Source organism: Homo sapiens, chromosome 1 (assembly GCF_000001405.40).
Source record: "Homo sapiens chromosome 1, GRCh38.p14 Primary Assembly".
Classification (NCBI taxonomy): Eukaryota; Metazoa; Chordata; class Mammalia; order Primates; family Hominidae; genus Homo; species Homo sapiens.
The window spans coordinates 193,010,335-193,030,410 of NC_000001.11; the positions used below are offsets into that span (position 1 = coordinate 193,010,335).

Here is a 20,076-nt window from a genome sequence, read left to right on the forward strand (position 1 = left end):
AAAAAAAAAAAAAAAAAAAAAAAGGGGAAGAAGAAGAAAGAAGGGAAGGATGAAGGATGGAAGTGTGGCGGGGGGAGGAAGGAATGGAGGGAGGGAGGAAGTGAAAGAGAGAAGCACGAGTTCAAGTTTGAATCCTAGATCTACTACTTACTGGCTGTATGAACTTGGGCAAGTTACTTATACTTTCATTTTCCTTAAAAATAAGTCACAGACATCCTTCCATATTAATACATAGACATTCATATTCTTTTCAATGACTGCCTAGTATTCCAATACACCATAACTAATGTACCCATTGTCTTTTGTTGTGCTTTAGTGTCCCTCATCTGAAAAATGGGGATAACGTGACTTATTTCATATCTGTGAAGGCTGGAGTTACTGTGCAAAAAAGTACTTAGGACGCCAGGCATGGTGGCTCACGCCTGTAATCCCAGCACTCTGGGAGGTCAAGGTGGGAGGATCATCTGAGGTTGGGAGTTAGAGACCACCCTGACCAGCATGGAGAAACCCCGTCTCTACTAAAAATACAAAATTAGCCAGGTGTGGTGGCACATGCCTGTAATCCCAGCTACTCGAGAGGCTGAGGCAGGAGAATCGCTTGAACCCAGGAGGCAGAGGTTGTGGTAAGCCGGGATGGCACCATTGCACTCCAGCCTGGGCAACAATAGAAAACTCTGTCTAAAAAAAAAGTACTTAGGACAATGTTTGGCACATTGTGAATAGTTTTCTATTTTATTCCTAATAACTTTTTCTAATTGATTGCATTTTCACATCTGGCTACTGAAATTGTAGAAGTCCTAAAACCAATTTTTTAAATTCAGAAAATAAAACACAATGCCTATTGATTATGGAGACAATAATTATTTCCATAAGCATAAAAATAACTGAGATTATCTGTCAAATTTTAATGTGCATAAATGTAATTTAATCAACTGGGCATCTTTTTAAAATGCAGATTCTGATTCCAATGTTCTGGGGTGGGACTTCAGATTCTGCATTTCTAACAAGTTCTGAGGTTATGCTCATTGCTGCTAGTCTGCAGATCACCCACTGAGTACTCAGAACACAGATGGTTTGATTCAAAGGGAAAAGGTATATAGAAGGAAAAAAGCAGATATCTTTTAAGTATTAAAATGAAGTTAATACTTACCTCATAAGATTGGTGTGAAGATAAAGTGAAATATATCTAAAATGTTAGAATAGCCATCAATGGGGAACACCCTACAATCATATTTTATAGCTTTATTGCAGGATTGCACAATAAATATATTACTCATATATAATATGTAATTTACAGAGGAACTGTGTATTATACATTTGTCTAATGATTGTAATACGCATATTGCATATTATGTATGACAAAATTTTATTTGTTGGCTTGCTGTCTCTTAAAGTTTTATGGTGTCTGTTGCCTTACAGAAATTTTTAATTTTTATACTGTCAAGTATTTCTCTTCTGGGTTCTTTTATGTTTTCTTTGGTGCTTAGGAAGCTTTTCCCTGTCCCTAAGTAATAAAATATTCTCCCAAATTTTTTCAAGTAATTTCATTGTTTTCATTTGTTTTGTTCTGAGATAGGGTCTCACTCTCTTATCCAGGATGGAGTACAGTGGCTGATCACAACTCACTGCATTCTCGAACTCCTGGCTCAAGGGACCTTCCAGCCTCAGTCTTTTGGGTAACTGGGACTATACGCACATATCACCTCCATACCCAGCTATTTTTTTTTTTTTAAGAGACAGGGTCTTGCCATCTTGCCCACACTAGGCTTGAACTTCTGAGCTTCTGCCTCAGCCTCCCAAAGTGCTAGGAGTACAGGTATAAGCCACCAGACCCAGCCTGTTTTAGTCTTAATGGTTATAATGGGAGGGCGGGGGACAGTTCAAAATGTTTTTTAAAAATACACCTACATGAGACTTTCCCCACTGGTTTTATGGTTTATTCAATATTATATTATCATTGCTACAAGAAAGAATCAAAGAAGCATATTACATAAAATATATGGATAAGCTAAAAAGTAAATAGAGCAGTAGTCCTAGGCATTTCCATATATCTTTTATTCAACCCATTTTCATATTGACACTCCAACATTAATAAACCATTTAACCATCAAACATGATTGCAAATTAATATTCTTAATTATTGCACATTGGTTCTGCCTATATGCCTATATGCAATCCACTTGTACAGTGTTAGTTCAGTACTAGAGAAGTTCTGCCTATATGCCTATATGCAATCCACTTGTACAGTGCTAGTTCAGTACTAGAGAAAAAATTATCTTCATTTAGGTCTCTACTTAAAGTACATCTCATTAATGGGATCTTCCATGACCATTCTATCAAACCTCAGCTCCTCCCACCCCTTTTCCCTATTTTTTTTACCATTCATACTACTATTTGAAAAGTTGTATTACATACTTATTATCTGTCTCACCATGAGAGCAGGGGCTTTTTCCTGTTATACTATCCTCTAGCATCTAGAACAACTCAGATGTACCTCATAAGATTGGCTGAATAAATCACTGAATAGTTTTCAAAAAGTTAATGTAATCAAGTCAAAAATAAAAAGTGCCCAGTATGCTAGAAGTGGTGAATCTTTACCATGTCAGTCATTGGATTTAGGCCAGTTAACAATATACTAAAGAACAAACTAAATAACATGCATGTTTGACTGATCTAGGAATTCATACTACTCTAAAAAACGCAGTATCATTCTAAAAATATAACTATCCAGTTTGTCTGTTTTAGGCATTTAGGCATAGAAGGTTTAACTTTTCTGCATTCCAGTGCACAGTCATTAAGTGTTACAGCAGGTTCCTCATTCCTTGAACACAACTACTGCAACATGTTCTAACATTAATAGTTCCAACAGTGAACTCCCTGACTGTTGCAAAAGTGAGCAGTTCCCTAGGTACACCAATACTGTATGTTTGGATGGGAGTAATCTCTGGAGACTTAAGCTTGAAACCGCTCCTCCAAACCTTCCAATGATTTTGTAAGAAACTATGTAGTTTCAAAACTCCCAATATAAATCTGCATTCCTCTTCAAATAGCTAGAGTGGTTTGTTTCCTGAAAATTTGTATATGATCAAGTTTAAAAATAATATAAACTTCATAGAACTATTTCAGACTATGGGGAGGGCAAGCAAGACTAACACACAAAAACATATGTGTACACATGAGGAAAAAGGATCACTAAATACATAAAATGTTAATGTGCTCATCCCTGTAAATAGAAATATGGTAATTTAAATTTTATTTTTACTTATCTGTTTTCTCTAAATGGTTTTTGAGGAGAATACATTAAAAGCCCTTTTTTTCCCTCAAATAAACAAAATCCTCCTACAGGATAAAAATATCTAAATGCATCTTGAAATGTTAACGTTACAGGCAACTAGGAGGATTAATTGAAAGTATTAATCTGCATGTAACACCATAATATACACACAAATATGTACCATGGTCCTAACTGGGGGAGCAAGTCCCCGTGGTTGTGATTCCCGAGCAAATATTTGTCTGTTTTAGTGGCACAGTCGAGCTGACTGCTGTTCGGAAAAGGGCAAGCTATCTTGGGAACTAAACATATAAGGTGAGAGTAGCCAGTGCCGCAGCTGTTGGCAAGGTTTTTGTTGATAATAACAGAAGTACATCCCTTAGAATTGGCTATTTTGAAGGCTTAAAATAGAATGGAAGCGACTTCACCTACCCAATAATTAAATAAAATTTTAGAAAAGACTAAATATGAAATGAGCAAGATTTTCTATAAAATATCATTTAAAAAAAACTTTCCAAATAGCATTTATCTATTTATGGGTTGCTCTTTATTCTTCCATTTTCTCTACCCTCTAGCTTCATGACTTAATTTCAAACCAGCAACATATAGCACCCAGACAAGTCACACTTCTTTATTCACAGACAGAAGTAATCATGAAGTATCACAAGGGATTTGCAATCACCAAAGAAGATGCAGATAAAATAAACCACTCTTAAGCTATGGAAATTCCTATTAAGGAATTTTATTAGATTAATAAGAAAAATCCTTATACCTATTAATATAGTCATTTTACAAGGATATTTTTCAAATGTCATTTGATATTACTTTTGTTAACACTTTCAATGACAATTCTGATGAGCTCTAATTTTGGATCTTTTATGGTTACTGCTTTCTGTGACCTAAGAAACCTTTGGCTAACCCCCCAAGTCACAAAAATATCATCTGTTTTCAGTTAAAAAGCTTCATACTTTTAAAATATTACATTTAGGTCTATGATTCATCTCAAAGTCATTTTTGTGAGGTAGGGGGTCATTGTTCACTTTTTTCTATATGGATATTCAGCTATTCTATTCTGGCTCCATTTGTTGAAAAGACTTTCCTTCTCTGTTGAATTGTTTTGCCACCTTTGTCGAAATCAAGTGATCATATAAACGTTGATCTGTTTTCAGGCTCTCTCTTCTGTTCCATTGCTTTATTTGTCAATCCTAGTGCCAGTATCACACTGTATTGATTACTAAATACAACTTACCACAATAATCCTCACATTGCTTAACAAAATTTAAGCCTCAATAGGAAAGAATATATAAATTAAGCTGAAATAAACGAATGAGATCAAGATGAGCCTTCCTTAAAAATCTATTTTTAAAAATTATATCATGGCTTTGAAAACACTCCATAATTATTACTGTATCAACAGCAAAACATATTTACCCACAAATAACTGAGAGACTACATATTTTCCATTACCTCCAACTGAAATTATGTATGAAAAATATTTCATTCGTTTTTCTATCAATTTCCTATCAGGTTTTTCTCCATTAGTTCTAAGTCATTTAATACCACAATTACTAAGCTTAAAAACAATCCTTAAAAATGTGCTGAAGCTGGAAGATGGGTACACATTCTCCCTAATAAAATAAATTATGCTAAATTGATTTTACAATAAATAATAAAATGTTAAAGTCATGTATCAACCTCAGAAATATTCTTGATAAAGAAAAAAGTAGGTTACTTCCTTTAAAAAAGAAAGCTTTATAAAGTCTTCTTTAAAGTCTGACTTGCAAAGGAAGATTAGAAGCAGAAGATTATTACAAAGCAACTCCCAAATCAATTTTTAAAAATCAATTGTGAGCAAATTACATATGGCTCTTGAAAACTGCAGGCTGTACGAAATTTATTCAAATTGGCATAGAAAGACCCCCATCACCACTACCATCTTTTTAAAAAAGCAGATAACATGAACTGTCAGACCTCCAGTTTTTTTATACACAGCTTACAAGCTTGAAACAATATTCCATTGAGAGTAACACCAACATTCTTTAAGATTTACAATTTCTTCTTAACCTGAAATTTTGCTTTGAAGCATAATACTCAGACCTTCCTGAAACAATTCTCTAATACATAAACAAATAACCCCAAACACTTGAAGAAAATTTACTAAAATAAAATTGAGATGTTTATTACTTTTCTACTGACAGCAGTGAAAATCACTGGAAATTATACTTTTGTCCTTTTTAAATGATTTACATTAAAATCATACTTTCTCAAATAACTGGTATAGCAGATAAAATTCAGTTTTAAAATCCTCAAAACACTTAGATATCAAAGATAGAAATACTGATTTTTTTTCCGTTAATGATGAGAAGAAATAAGACAACCAGTTTAATCAAGATCTGACAATTGCAAATTTTAAGTATTTAAATTACAGATAAGGAATATCGTTTGTGCATTTTCTAGCTTCATATGGTAGTTAGACAACCAGAAAACTAACAGTTGTCAGACTCAATGTCAAATAATGGAATTTGGGAAAGCATTCTTAATATCACTTTCATTTAATATGCACTACATGCACATGATGCAGGTAGGGAAGAAGTTTATGAATCCATGCATTAAAGACAAGACAGGCTGGCACTATTGCCAAACGTGCACTGAGCCAATTAGGATGTTGCTCTAAGTTCTTTATACATAATGGTTTCCATGAAAATATGTGCAGAAGCAGAAATGTGTACATATCTGAAAACATCTTCATTTGGTTTCCTGAGCTTTCTTTGCGTTCTGTTTTTCTTTTGCCTAAAAATTAAAAATAGTATGTTACAAAATTTTAAAAGTCAGTTTTAGACTATATTAGAATAAAATGTGCCTAAGAGGGTATTCTCAAGCTGAAAGGCTTGAAATACATTGTTTATAAGACTTCTAAAGCATTATGTTTTATAACTTGAGACTTATAACAAACTTTTCCTGGACAATTACATAGTTATTCTTTGCCCTAAGAAAGGATCATGTTTGGTTTGCAGTTCTTTCCTATCTGAAGGTGAAATGAATTATTATAATTGTAATAATTTAAAAATTCCATAAAGTCAAACTCATTCATGAGTATTCCAAAACAATATATATACACATATTTGCCCATTTCCTATTCACATGAGCATAAGAAAAATCTTACATTAGTTTCTGCAAATGTGAATAAATGAGTTTAACATAACAGTTTAAGTGACTTTAACATAATGTCACTAAAGGATTATGTATCCTTGGTGTCAACAAACTTTATTTATATGACCTAAAAAAAAATGTTTTTACATACTAGTTCAATAGATCTTCATTACAATTATATAGCTTGAACACAGTACTTGTTTTATTCTTTAGCAAATGAAAAAGCCAGAGCTTATAGATGTTATCAAGCTTGACCAAAGTCCCACAGCTAGTATACAGTAAGTCCTCAATACAGATCAAAGACATATGCTTTATAGCATTGCTTCTCAATGTATATACCAATGACTTAGAGACCCTGTTAAAATGCAGACTGATTTAGTAAAATGCCTGAGGTTCTGTATTTCTAACAAACTCTCAGATGATGCCAGTTCTGCTGGTGTTCAGAAGACATTTCTAAAAGCAAGATTTTAGAGTACTACAATGCAATATTTTTCCACTGTGCCACTTCAGAAGAGTCAATGAATTAGACTTCTACATTATACAACTTTTTTTAAAACGTCCTTAAATAAAAAATACAGCAATTAAAACAATTACAATCTCTTTTTGTAATGTATTAGGTAGTATAATTATTATTTAACAGTATGATAAAACAGTGCTGTGCCTTAGAATGAATAAGAGCAAATAGTCTGTGTGTCATATTAAAAATAATAAAGTTAATTGCCAACATCAACGTTTTTAGTTAACAAGCATAATTTGTAATTTGATATGTGTATCGCATCTCATACAAAGTTTTCTGTCCTCAAATAATAAATATAATTTGGTTTTAGGCATAATTTAAAATAAAAGTATGTGCTTCTTTCCTTATTGATCTGAGTATACTTAATAGAATATTGAGAAGGATTAACAAGAAATAAATTTACTGGTTTCTGATATAAACTTTACAACATAATTAAATGAGCAAACACATATAAGGCAGAGTGTCTATACATTTATTAAAATTAAAAATAATTATCACAATTAATTGAGCACTAATTTATACACTTTACAGATATGATCTCATTTAATCATCAAGAATGTGAAGTAGGTATGATTCCCAGTTTACAGATGAGAAAGAGGTTATAAGAAAGTAAATAGTGCCTAAAAGCTCCAGCTAATAAGTAACATATATATAAGATTTAAATTCAAAGCCTGTATTTTGGTCTGTTTTTGTTAAAAAATAAAAATAAAATCATATAAATAACATGGAAAAATATATACTGTTAAAAATACTTTCCTTCTATACAGTGTACCAATGATATTAAAAAGTACTGACTCAAATCAGATAATTCTGCATTAATAGATACTAATGTAGATATTGTTGTGATTAGCCTTAACTATTCTTCTACCTTATTTCTATTAAGAAATAGAAAAAGATCTGAAGCTTACTTATTACCAATTGAATCACAAAGTCATAGTAAAATGTGGACAAAATTCAATATTGTGAAGTTGTTTGGATTTCCCCATAGCAATGGAATTTATGATTTTACATCACGTTAAGTTATTGGTAGTTAAAAATTTAAGATAGACAATGATTCATAATTACATACAAATGTGTAGACAAAAATTTGTTAATCATAAATATACCTGAATAAATAGAAGTCTCACAAATGTAATCTTAAACTAGATAATTTTATTTTATATTTTAAGAAAGAGATTTGGTACATAATACAAGAAGTTTTATAACTATATATTTTTGGATTACCTCCTAGGCAGTTTTTAAATGTGGTGTGTATTCAACGAATTCATCGGTTAAAAAGTCTCACATAACAAAAACATTTATAGGTTCTAACCAAGTTCATTATAGCCATGCCGAGGGAGAATCACTTTTTATTTATTATTTTGCAAATAAAAAGATTTTAGGTCAAATACTTTTATGTCATCACAGATTATAGGCAACTGCCTCAGCTATTCAAAAATCTCATCCTGTAGAATCTCAGCATATAGTAGCACTGCATGGTGCAGCCATATCTTTCCTGTTTGTTTCCTTCTATTCCTTCTCACACCTTGTTCTTTTATCCTATTTTCCCTGAAAACAAAACACAGTAAGATCCACTATTCCAACTTATCTATTTCTGAATTCTATAGGTAATTTTTCTTAGAAGTATTACCATTAAGTAATTAACTATCACTGGTAAAGATTTTATATAATTATAAAATCTAATCTTTATTCTAACAGTTTTTCAACACGCTTTATTTTTTAAATTTGCATTTATCTGCAGAAAATGATATTTTAATATGGTATCTTTTTTTTCCAAAATAAGATGAACAAAAATATATTCTTGCAAAGGAAACGGATATAGTGCTACAGATTAAGCACTTAATTCCCACCACATATTTAAAACTTTATGGATGTGAAATTTTAAGTGGCTATAAAGCTATTTAGGAGCTACCCTGTGCTTGCTGGGGATCTTTAGCCTGACTTTATCCTGGCATTTATCAAAATAATACTATTTAGCACAATACCATAATTGTTCATTTATTCCTTTCCCAAATTGTACCATGAGTTGCTTAAGAGAAAATAATATGTCTCAGTTATGTATACATCCCTAGACCTTAACAGAGTGCCTGGAATATCCTCGCAGCTAGATAAATGTTTGATGAATAATTTAAAACATTTCAACAATTCCAATTAAATGAGTCTAAGCTCCTTCAGAACCTAGGAGAATAATAGTTATTGCATGTATATAAGAAATAAATCTATCTCAATATTGCTTCTGGAATATTAATAAAAGAACAGCTTAGAGAAATAAGCAACTAGAAGGTCAATAACTACTTTCCTTAAGAAAATGAAGGCAAACACAACAGAGTTGGTGTTCCACTAACATCAGGTATTTATATGCTGCCACCTTGTGTCCAAAAAATGTGAACTAAGGAATAATTATTCTAATGTTAAGCTGACAAGCTGTTGTTCTCTAACTATGCTCTCAAAAAAATCTGGGGATATAGTGTAATTAAAAATCAAACAACAGTGGTTCTTTTACTTACTAATTTGCACACACAAAAAATTCTGTTCACAGATCAATTTTAATGCAAAATTTATACATTTAATATTTATCTAAGGGTCCTAGTCCCTAGTAACATTTATCTAACTTAAAATCTGATGTATCACATATTTAGCACATTTTATAGTTATTTTAATATTTTTAACAGAAAAACATTTGATATGATTAATAACATCATATCTAGGTATTCTTGTTAACCAAGCAATTTTGAGAACCACAGGACCCTGTATTAATCTAAAACTTTAAAAACAGTTTCCCATCTTAGAATACACCCTGAGATGCATGAACAGAAAAACCTATAATGGAAAAGAGAAGATTTAGCAGTCTTCTGCAATAATTTTTACATTTAATGCTAAAAGTTGGGTCACATGTTTCAATCAATAAGGTAATATACACAAAAAACTTATTAGCTCACATCTCATATTATTTAGAATGTATAACATGAAACAGCTTGGTTGAAATCAATCTTTGCTTTGTAAACTTTAAAATTAATAAGGAAAATATACCTACCATGTATTCTCGTCTTTAAGTTAATGGTCCAAAATTTTATTTGCCTAGTAGTGTCTTCTCAAAGTGTTTCTCAAACTGTGGTACACAGACCAGTTGCATTAGAATCACTTGGGGAACTTATTAAAGAATCCTTCCCCTATATCAGAATATCTGGGGAGGGGCCAGGTAACATGTATTTTAAAGAGTATCCACTGATGTTCACTTTCAGAAACACTGATTTACAGTATGAACTTAAAAACAATTTAACTGCATTTTACTTATTCAACAAATATTTTATTGTTACTTATGAAAAAAATCATAGAAATCAGAATTCTTCACTAACTTATGCTAGTTTTCCCTCAGTGGAATGGATACTAAATTAGAAATAAGAAAACCTATTTCGTAGTACAGGCTATTTTTTTTTTAAACCCAACAATGTCCATTCTACTTTTAAATTCTGTTATATCAACTCAAATTTTTGCTAAATAGGAAAATATTATTTCAATTATCAGCATTAAAAATCTACTTTTGCTTAAAGGAAGTGTTTTAAATTTTATTTTAATACAGCATAACCTGAGGTCTTGACACTAAGAATCTGGAAGCCTAAAGCAGTGGGGTAATTCTTTATTTTTGTTTTACAGTCTCAATTGAACTAATTCTTACAGAGTAGAAAACAAGAGGCAAAAGCAAAAGAATAAAAACGTACAAGCTTCCAAAAATTTTACCTCTATTCAAGCAAAAAATAAAAAATACATTTTATGTTTTTGGAGACTCTAAACTTAATTTAAGTATCTACCAATAAAATACTTACCTTTTCTACTAGTGGTATTAACTGCTGGTGTTCTGCTAAAGTCTTTAACAATTCCATAATGAAAGGCAGATAATTATGCTTCCTTCTGATATTCTCAATCTGAAAATAAAACATCAATCCACACTAACTACATTTCTGCTAATTTTGATATTTTATTCTTTGCATCCAACTCAAAATAGAAATGGTATATCCATTCTCATAAGAAAATGATTTTAGAAATAATGAGATTCCATTCCCACTGAGAATAAAAATTAACACAATAAAACATGTGGAGGGAGTTTCTTGGGCAAGGGCCTCCTGCCCCTGACTTAGCAAATAATAGAGGCCTTTAAAAGTCCAATCTAACATTACTTATGAAAATGTCATTTATAAAAACAACTAAACATCTACAAGCTAAATTAACATTTGCTACTTCACCTGTGCAAATAATCAGGCAAAGTCTAATGAGACCAGCTTTATTTTGTGATCAAGCACAATCTTTCCTTCAGATTATTTTTTATCGAAAGGGGGTACACTGCAGGAAAAAATTTCTACTTCAGTGGAAAACTATGCACTGTCTAGATAACATCCTCTCAAGTTATGTGATTCTAGGCTTTTACTGCCACTGACCTATTATATATTCTGCCTGGTAGAAGTATAATTGATTGCCCTTCCATAGAAAGTTTCCATCTCTTATAAATTCATTTAAACTTCATATAAATTTGAGCTTCTCTGACTTCTCCTTTAACTAGAGTTCCTTCAGTTAATTAATTAAATTAAAGCTTAACATGTTTGTTTTATAGCAGTATGACAATCATTTTATCTTTTTTTAAACAAAGCATTCCCAAACAATAAAGCAGGACACCTTATGGAAGTTATGGAAACTTTGTGTTGTATTTTGGGCAGATATTAAAAGTTAGTTAATTACATAATAAACACATAAGTATATATAAAGATGGGTAATTTACTTTTTTTAATATCATGTGAAATGGAAAATAATTGGGAAAGCTATTATTTTTTCCTTCCCTATCTCCATGAACTTGTCCCTCCCTTTTTCCCGCCTGGAATACTCTAGAGCCTGCCTGCCTGCCCCTACCACTTTCACCTGAAGAAATCCTACTAGTTTAAGGCCCATTCATTTCACTTAACAATCACCTGTTGTCTGTTAAGTATGATGCAAAGTATCTGTTGTCTGTTAAGTATGATGCAAAACACTTTACTGACACTGTGGGGAGCAACAAAAAGGACAGTTCTTGCCTTACACTGAGGTTCAAATGAAAAATAATCCTTTACTACCATAACACATGACAAATGACATATACATTCCACATCCAAGCACTTTGGGAGGCTGAGACGGGCAGATCACTTGAGGTCAGGAGTTCAAGATCAGCATGGCCAACATGGCAAAACCCTGTCTCTACTAAAAACACAAAAAATTAGCCTAGCCAGGCATGGTGGTGCACACCTGTAATCCCAGCTACTTGAGAGGCTGAGGCAGGAGAATTGCTTGAACCTGGAAGGTGGAGGTTGCAGTGAGCCAAGATTGCACCACTGCACTCCAGCCTTGGCGACAGAGCGAGACTCTGTCCAAAAAAAAAAAAAAAAAAGGAATAATAACTACAGTGAACTGAAACACCAAATAGGTTAAAATTCTATTCCTAATAATATTTTACAAAAATAAAAATGAAAGACATCTCACTACTTATCTTTGTAGTGATAAGAGAATCAACAAATTATTTGAAATCTGGTAAATGATAGGAGGGAAAGCCATCAGATATTCAATGTACCTTCATCTTGAAATATACTGCTCTATATTAAAACATTAAAGGAACACATTTTTAAAAACATACCTTGTATCTTTTTAATTTCTGTACTTCTTCTTCAATAAGCATCTGATTTTTGGCAACTTCTGACTGAATAGCACTTAACATACTATTACCTTGATCTGTATCCATGGGTTCCTCCTTGGGGGAAGGAAAAGAAATAGCACACCCTAATAATTGAGGCTTACATTCAGAATATTTTAAAATGATAAACACAGTATGATTATTTTCAAATTTTTACTCTTCATATTGATAGCAGCATGCCCGCCTAACAGCAGCATTAAAGGATAAAAGCCCCAAAATAGTACCTTCCATATTTCTATGTTCTAATAATACGAATTTTCATCTAAAAACAACCTACGCTGTAATATACTCTATTGCCATATTCTCCTAATACACTATAAAATAAATTTTCTTAAATATACTCTTAAGAAAATGTGCTCAAAGGATTGTAAAATAAACTTTGTCTATTAATCTCTTCTCCAATGACATTTACTATAGAAAGGTAATCATAGACTAGTAAAGACTACATGTGACTCTAAATATACCCAGTTAACTCTTTGAGAATTAACTTGCTTAATTATATAATGAAGTCACAGAAAATAGTTAAAATAGTTCATTCCTAACACTTATTTAGCATTTACCATTTGTTAGTCATTAAGTGATTTACACATAATACTTCATTTACTCCTCATGACAATATTCTAAGGTAAATACTATTTATTATTTTTATGCTATATGAAGAAACTGAGGCACAAGGAAATATACTCAGATTCCTATATCCACTAAGTGCAAAGCCAGGAACCGAATCTAGGCAGCCTGAATCCAGTGTGTATTCGCTTAGCCACCATTCAGACCACTTGATTATATATATATTTAAAGTAAATACTTTTCCTGAGAGAATAACCAAGCTAGAACTTTGTACTTAGAAACATGGCCACGAACCTCTGCAAGTTGTCTTTGTAACTCTGCTATCTTCTGCTCATATATCATTTTTCTGTCAGACACAATGGCCATTAAATTAAATCGAATTTCACCTTCACTGTACCTAGAAGAAAATTATTTAAGTTTATAATGTAATAAAGAATTGTACAACTATTACCGTTAAGATAATCCATCGTGATTCCCCTCTTGATTTTCTAGTATAAACAAAAGTCTATCAATTGGCTAGCAATAAAAATGGACACTTTTAAAAAGCTTTCAGGTCAGGCACATAGGTGCCTCCCAGCTACTTGGGAGGCTCAGGAGCGGAGAGGATCCTTTGAGTTTAGAAGCTGGAGGCTGCAGTGAGCTATGATAGTGCACTATACTCCAGTCTGGGCAACAGAACAAGACCCTGTCTCTTAAAAAAAAAAACAAAAAAAAGCTTTCATATAGGAAAGACAACTGTAGAAAAACAAAATTGGCTAAATTCCATCAATCACAAATGTTTTTTAAATATTCTAAAATAATGTCATAAAACATTTGAAATAAAAAACATTTTCATCAATTTCCCTACCTTTATAAGAAATATGGCAACACATTAACTTAAGAGCTCAGAAAAAAACAAATGGAGACTCCATATTTCTTAAATTATTTAGACTGGCATCTTGATGGGTATTAACTATGCTCCGTATTATATAATTTTTTCCAAGTCATGATGAACTTTCTATTTTTAATTTATATATTTTAAATTTTATCTTATATGTAAATAAATATAACATATTTTATTAATATAATATATAATTATATCGTATAGTAAAATTTCTGAATGTTTGATTTTCACTACTCTGATATCAATGAAGCATCTCATAACAAGCTGGTTCATGGTAGCAACTGACATTAAAAGCATTATTCATAACACTATGTAAATGGCATTAAGATGAAAATATATAGAAAATATGAGCCCATTTTGCATTAGTTTATCTCTAAGAGTTTCTCATACACAGTTCTATTCACTGAAAACAAATGGCCCCAACATAACTATAGTAATTTGAACTATGTAAAAATGTCTTTAAAACACTGATTGTGGGACTTCCATGTCCCTATCCCTGCCAGTAAGTACAACTAAAAACCCTGGACATAATATGTTTTTTAAAAAGAGCAAGCAAGAACATTCTGAAAGGTAGAAAAAAAGCAGACAAGCTGGGGAACTCAGGAACCAAGAATGATACAATAGTGAATTTCCTGAGGTTTTTTTCTGCCTCATATATCCCAGAATTGGAGCTGAAGAAACCAGCAACCCAGAAATACCAACAGGCACAGACAAAAAAAAGCCCCAACAAAAGTCTGCTCTCTCTAGCCAAATAGAAAAGGTGCAGCCTCAGAAGACAGAAAACTTTTAGACAATAATCATTCCACTATAGCCAAACATGATTGAAAAATCTGTGACCTCACCCCTACTCAAAACCAGTAAAAGCAGAATAGAGAGCTGGACTTCCAGTCTTGTCTTCCAACCTTTAACAAGGTTCCTAGGTTGGTATTTAAAAAGGCTGGGTAGGGAATGGGGACTTTCATCCCTGCCATGTGGTAATGACAACACCCATTTGTGGTATCAAAGGACACAGAATGGGAAGCCAAAATTGTCACTGCCATCCAGTGGCAAAGTAGCCTCATCCACTTCAGTATGAGTGGAAAGCAATAGCAAGGCACTCCTACCCCTCTCAGCCAGAGTGGTATCAACAGAAACTCTGCTGGGGGCTAGAACACCCATCTCTGCCCAGCAATAACAAGGAGCCTTATTCCATTTCAGTTGTCACTGAAGGCCTAGTAGGGAAGCTGGACTTCTACTCCCACCTGGTGTAATGAGGTGGCACCCACAATTTACATTTACCCTGTCAGAGCCATGTCCATAAAAACCAGCTCACACAGAAATTTTAAATAAGATCCAAAGTCTTACTTTTATAGATATAGAGAAGATTATACTAAAATTTATATGGGAAGGCAGAGGAACTATAGTAGTTAAAACAATTTTGAAGAGAAGAATACAATGAAAGGCATCGGTCTACCTGATTTCAAGACTTAGAGTTACAGTAATCAACACAATGTAGTACTGGCAGAGGAACAGATAAATGGAACAATGGACAGACTAGTGAGCCCAGAAATAGACCCACACCAATATGCTCCATTTTTGCAAAGGTGCAGGAGGAATTCAGTGGAGGAAGGATAGCCTTTTGAACCACCGGTGCCTGAGTAATTGAATATGCATAGGCAAAAAAAAAAAAAAAAATGACCCGTGATCTAAATGTCATACCATATACAAAAATTAACTCAAAATACATCATAGACTTACATGTAAAACATTAAACTATAAACTTTTAAGAAAATTACACAGGAAAAAAATTTTGGTATCTACACCGAGACAAAGAATTCTTAGACTGAAAACAAAAACACAATTCATAGTGTCAAATATTGATAAACTGTACTTCATCAGGATTAAGACCTTTTGCTCTGTGAAAGACCATTTTGGGAGTACAAGTGGATGGGCTACAGACTGGGAGAGAATATTTGCAGGCAATGTGTTTGATGAAGGATTAGTATCTAAAATACGTAAAGAACTTCAGACTCAAGAGTCAAAAAACAATCCAATCAGAAAATGAGCTAAAGGCACGAAAAGATTTTCAACATCATTAGTCATCAGGGAAATGCAGATTAAAACCACAATGAAGTATCACTATACATCTATTAGAATGGTTAAACTAAAAATGGTGGTAACACCAAATGCTAAAAAGGATGCAGAGGAACTAGACCGTTCATATATTGCTGGTAGAAATATAAAATGGTACAGTCACTCTGGAAAAGAGTTTGGTAGTTTCTTAAAAAAAAAAAAAAATATCCATTTACCATGCAACCCAGCAATGCAACACATAGGCATTTATCCCAGAGAAATGAAAACTTGCAGTCACAAAAAATCTGCACAAAAACGTTTATTGTAGCTTTATTCTCAGTAGCCAAAAAATAGAAAACAATCCAGATGTCCTTCAATGGATGAAGAGGCAAAAAGCTGGTATATCCATACCACAGAATACCATCTATGAATAAAAAAATGAACTACTGATACACTTAAAAACTTGGAAGAATCTCCAAGAAATAAACTGAGTGAAAAAGCTAATGCGAAAAGGCTACATATTGTAAAATTCATATATAACATTCTTTAAATGACAAAAATTATAGAATTAGGGATTAAGAAGTAAAGGAAAGGGAAAGGCAGCAGGGAGAGAAGTGGTTGTGCCTAAAAAGAACAATACAAGGGATCTTTGTGGAGAGCAAATTTTGCTGTATCTTGACTACATCAATGCCAGTATCCTGGCTGTGATATTACACTATAGTTTTGCAAGATGTTGCCACTGAAAGATAAAAAATACACAAGATGTCTCTGTATTATTTCTTACAACTGAATATATATATAATTATCTGAAATTGAATATACAATTACCCCAAAATAAAGAGCTTAATATTAAAAATAAACCCTCAAAAATAAAACTCTACAAAATAACTGTCAATTATCCAACAGTACAAAATACCTAGCCGGGTGCAGTGGCTCATGCCTGTAATCCCAGCACTTCGGGAGGCCAAGGTGGGCAGATCACTTGAGGTCAGGAGTTTGAGACAAGCCTGGAGAACATGGTGAAACCCCACCTCTACTGAAAATACAAAAATTAGCCGGGTGTGGTGGCATGTGCCCATAATCCCAGCTACTCGGGAAGCTGAGACACGAGAATCGCTTGAACTCGGGAGGCAGAGGTTGCAGTGAGCCGAGATTGTGCCACTGCACTCCAGCCTGGGCGACCCAGTGAGACTCTGTCTCAAAAAATAAAAAAAAGAAAATAAAAAATTATCTAACTTAATGGAAATCTGCATGTTTAACTTCTCTAAAGACAAGATGACATACTACTACATGAAATTTAGAGATTTTCTGAAATAGACTTCTTAAATGCATTAACCCAATCAAAAGTAGATGTTTGGCTGGGCACAGTGGCTCACGCCTGTAATCCTACCACTTTGGGAGGTCGAGGCAGGCGGATGGCTTGAGCTCAGGAGTCTGAGACCAGCCTGGGCAACATGGTGAAAACCCGTCTCTACGAAAAATTAAAAAGAAAAAAAAAAGTAGATGTTCAATGCACACTGCTAAAATAACAATAAAATACAAGTTTAAAAAATACTTAAAAAACAGAATATTATGCCAATGAGATTAGCTGAGCATTTACTTTTGTATCCTTTTTTCTATGACAGGCCTTACTGCACTGATCCAATCATCTTGATTGCATGCACCTAGAAAGAAATTTTAAAACAGTTAACACAAATAAAAATAAGAACAATCAACTTTAAAATGCAAAAGTTTGGCCCAAAATATTTTTTTACAAATATTTTAATAAATTTAGAGCAGTAAAACTCTTTTTAGTATAATTATGTTGTTTCAATTCCATAAATAAATTTTTATAACACACATAGAAAAATAAATATTTTTAAATATAGAGGCAGCATGTAAATCTGCATTGGATAAACTATTGGTTCTACGCATGGGGCATGGCAAAAAGTACAAACAAAATGCACCCATGTTAATTTTTTTAAAATCTAAAAGTATAAAGTTTTATGAATAGCCTATAACATTAGATTCAACTAAAACAAGTTGTGTTGGACTTCAAACCTATTATTAAAAAAAGAAAAAGAAAATTTAATGAAGTCAAAATAAGGAGTTAAAATTATTTTGTGAACCTATTATTTCAGTAATCTTTCAGAGCCACAGATTGTACCTTCAACTTTGATAAGTGTTTATCATTTTTTGCTCAGCATTAGAGACGGGGTAGGATCAGAACAATCTATGTTTTTGCAGAAAGGATAACACATTAACGCACTATTTAAATAGAGAAATTTTAAGAAAAATATTTTCTTGATTGCAAAACAATAAATTATCCAATTCCAAATGAAAATACTTTAATACGGATGTTAAGAAATGCTTGCTATCCCTTACGAATGGGTTAAAAATGACAAGAGTAACTATTTACGTTCACTAAGGGTAGTTTTTAAATGTTAAATGGAAAATAAAATATAAATTATGTAACCTATAGGTTAAAAAATAATTTTACTTGGGAAAAACTCAAAGGCATCAACTGAACTATGGTAGTCAAGATGTCCTTCCTATATATTAATATAACACACTGAAGAGCTTAAGGCCTTCATTATATTATGTTACCTCATAGTCACTTTTACCTTGAAAATTTAAGCAGCACTGAATGAGGGTAAATACCCAACAGATTTTCCCCTGTCAAAAGTGAAATATCAGGAACAGGAACTGCATTACCTAAATCAATCGGTCCTTCTCTTAATCCATCTAATTCATACAGTCTCCCATTAACAGGAACATAACTGACAAAGTGAAAAGCATCTTCTTCTTTTGCTGATGTCTTCGTATCAAATTCAAACATTTGCTGTCTACAGTAAATAAAAAAATAGTGAAACTCAAAGAAGCAAAGAAAGAAACAGTATTTATTTAACATAAAGTCTCTTTACCTGGCGAAACTGTTGTGTACTTGTCGAATCACATCTGAATTGCTCAGTGCCAAGCCTTTCATCTAAAATAATTTTTTAAAGTAGCCTATTAATATACAAACTTTCACAAATATGACATTTTAGGAATAAGAAGATTGTACTCACAGCTGCATCAAAACTTTGTGAAAATTCTTTAAACTCTGATAATGTCTCGCCTAAATGGACATCCTGGTGGGTACAGTTCAGTAACACACTCACTATGGCTTGAGTAGCACAAGCATTATTAATTACCTATAAAATATAAAAGTGAAGATATCAATGTGTTTAAAAAAATAAAAAATGGTTTTTAACTGGTGACAATGGCCCCAAAACATGAACAGTTTTCAAATTATATTTTATGAAGTCTCAGCATAAACAGAATAAATATGTTTAATTTCTATCCTAATCTATTTTCAGAAATTTGCTGCACTTCTGGAGTTGAAAATTCTAGGAAACCAAATGAACTCAATGAACTCATAATATTACCAAAAACCAATCCAGTTAGGGTAACAAGATCAATCATCCTGATGGAAAACATAGCTGATTAAGCCAACAGAGCTTGTCCCCCTCTCCTATTCATTTCCTCCTAGACTCATTTCTACCTATTCAAATTCAATTAGTATTTTATAACCGAGCATAAGCTTCAATTCACCTGTGTGATTGTAGAGAAATTCTGAACCCAACTCACATTAGTTTCCACCCTCATTTAAATTCCCAAACAGGGTATACAATGTCCACATATTTTTTTTCACTCAATCATCTACAGTCTTTACATTGCTATCATCTAGCTATAATCATTTAACAAATTATCTGGACCTTACATTCTAGCCAAAGGAAAAAACATTTAGATAGCATTTACTATGTGCCAGTTACTTTTCTAGGCACTCTACATGCATTATTTCTTTTAATCCTCTCAACAACTTATGCAGAAGGATTACTATTATCATCTTCATTTTAAATTTGTAGAAGCTGAGGCACAAAGAGGTAAGTGCCCAAGGGCACACA

At 32.7% G+C, this 20,076-nt stretch overlaps 1 protein-coding gene across 40 annotated transcripts in view, besides 1 other annotated feature; it reads right to left on the minus strand.

Annotated features, from left to right (window-relative positions):
• Positions 322–487: a silencer, noted in NCBI's record as "fragment chr1:192979786-192979951 (GRCh37/hg19 assembly coordinates)". NCBI's record gives its function as "represses an EF-1alpha promoter that drives an FKBP-Casp9 reporter gene in an ReSE screen in phorbol 12-myristate 13-acetate-treated (for megakaryocytic differentiation) K562 erythroleukemia cells {active_cell/tissue: K562(+PMA)}" and the evidence as "EXISTENCE:reporter gene assay evidence [ECO:0000049][PMID:32094911]".
• UCHL5 (ubiquitin C-terminal hydrolase L5) overlaps positions 1,920–20,076 on the minus strand; it is a 47,823-nt gene continuing 29,666 nt past the window's right edge. For 6 of the 40 annotated variants that reach the window (XM_006711370.5, XM_017001438.2, XM_011509607.3 and 3 more), the window contains 9 exons: positions 19,198–19,323; positions 19,054–19,115; positions 18,845–18,975; positions 17,751–17,814; positions 17,541–17,621; positions 13,510–13,612; positions 12,592–12,705; positions 10,763–10,861; positions 1,920–6,061 (listed from right to left, as the gene is read on the minus strand). In XM_006711370.5, coding sequence (XP_006711433.3) covers positions 6,017–6,061; positions 10,763–10,861; positions 12,592–12,705; positions 13,510–13,612; positions 17,541–17,621; positions 17,751–17,814; positions 18,845–18,975; positions 19,054–19,115; positions 19,198–19,323 — 825 coding nt within the window. In that variant the 3' untranslated portion in view covers positions 1,920–6,016. Of the gene's footprint in view, positions 6,062–7,389; positions 8,487–9,465; positions 10,123–10,762; positions 10,862–12,591; positions 12,706–13,509; positions 13,613–17,540; positions 17,622–17,750; positions 17,815–18,844; positions 18,976–19,053; positions 19,116–19,197; positions 19,324–20,076 lie in introns of those variants that run through there. The other 34 variants (NM_001350844.2, NM_001350850.2, NM_001350847.2 and 31 more) reach the window with 17 other exon arrangements.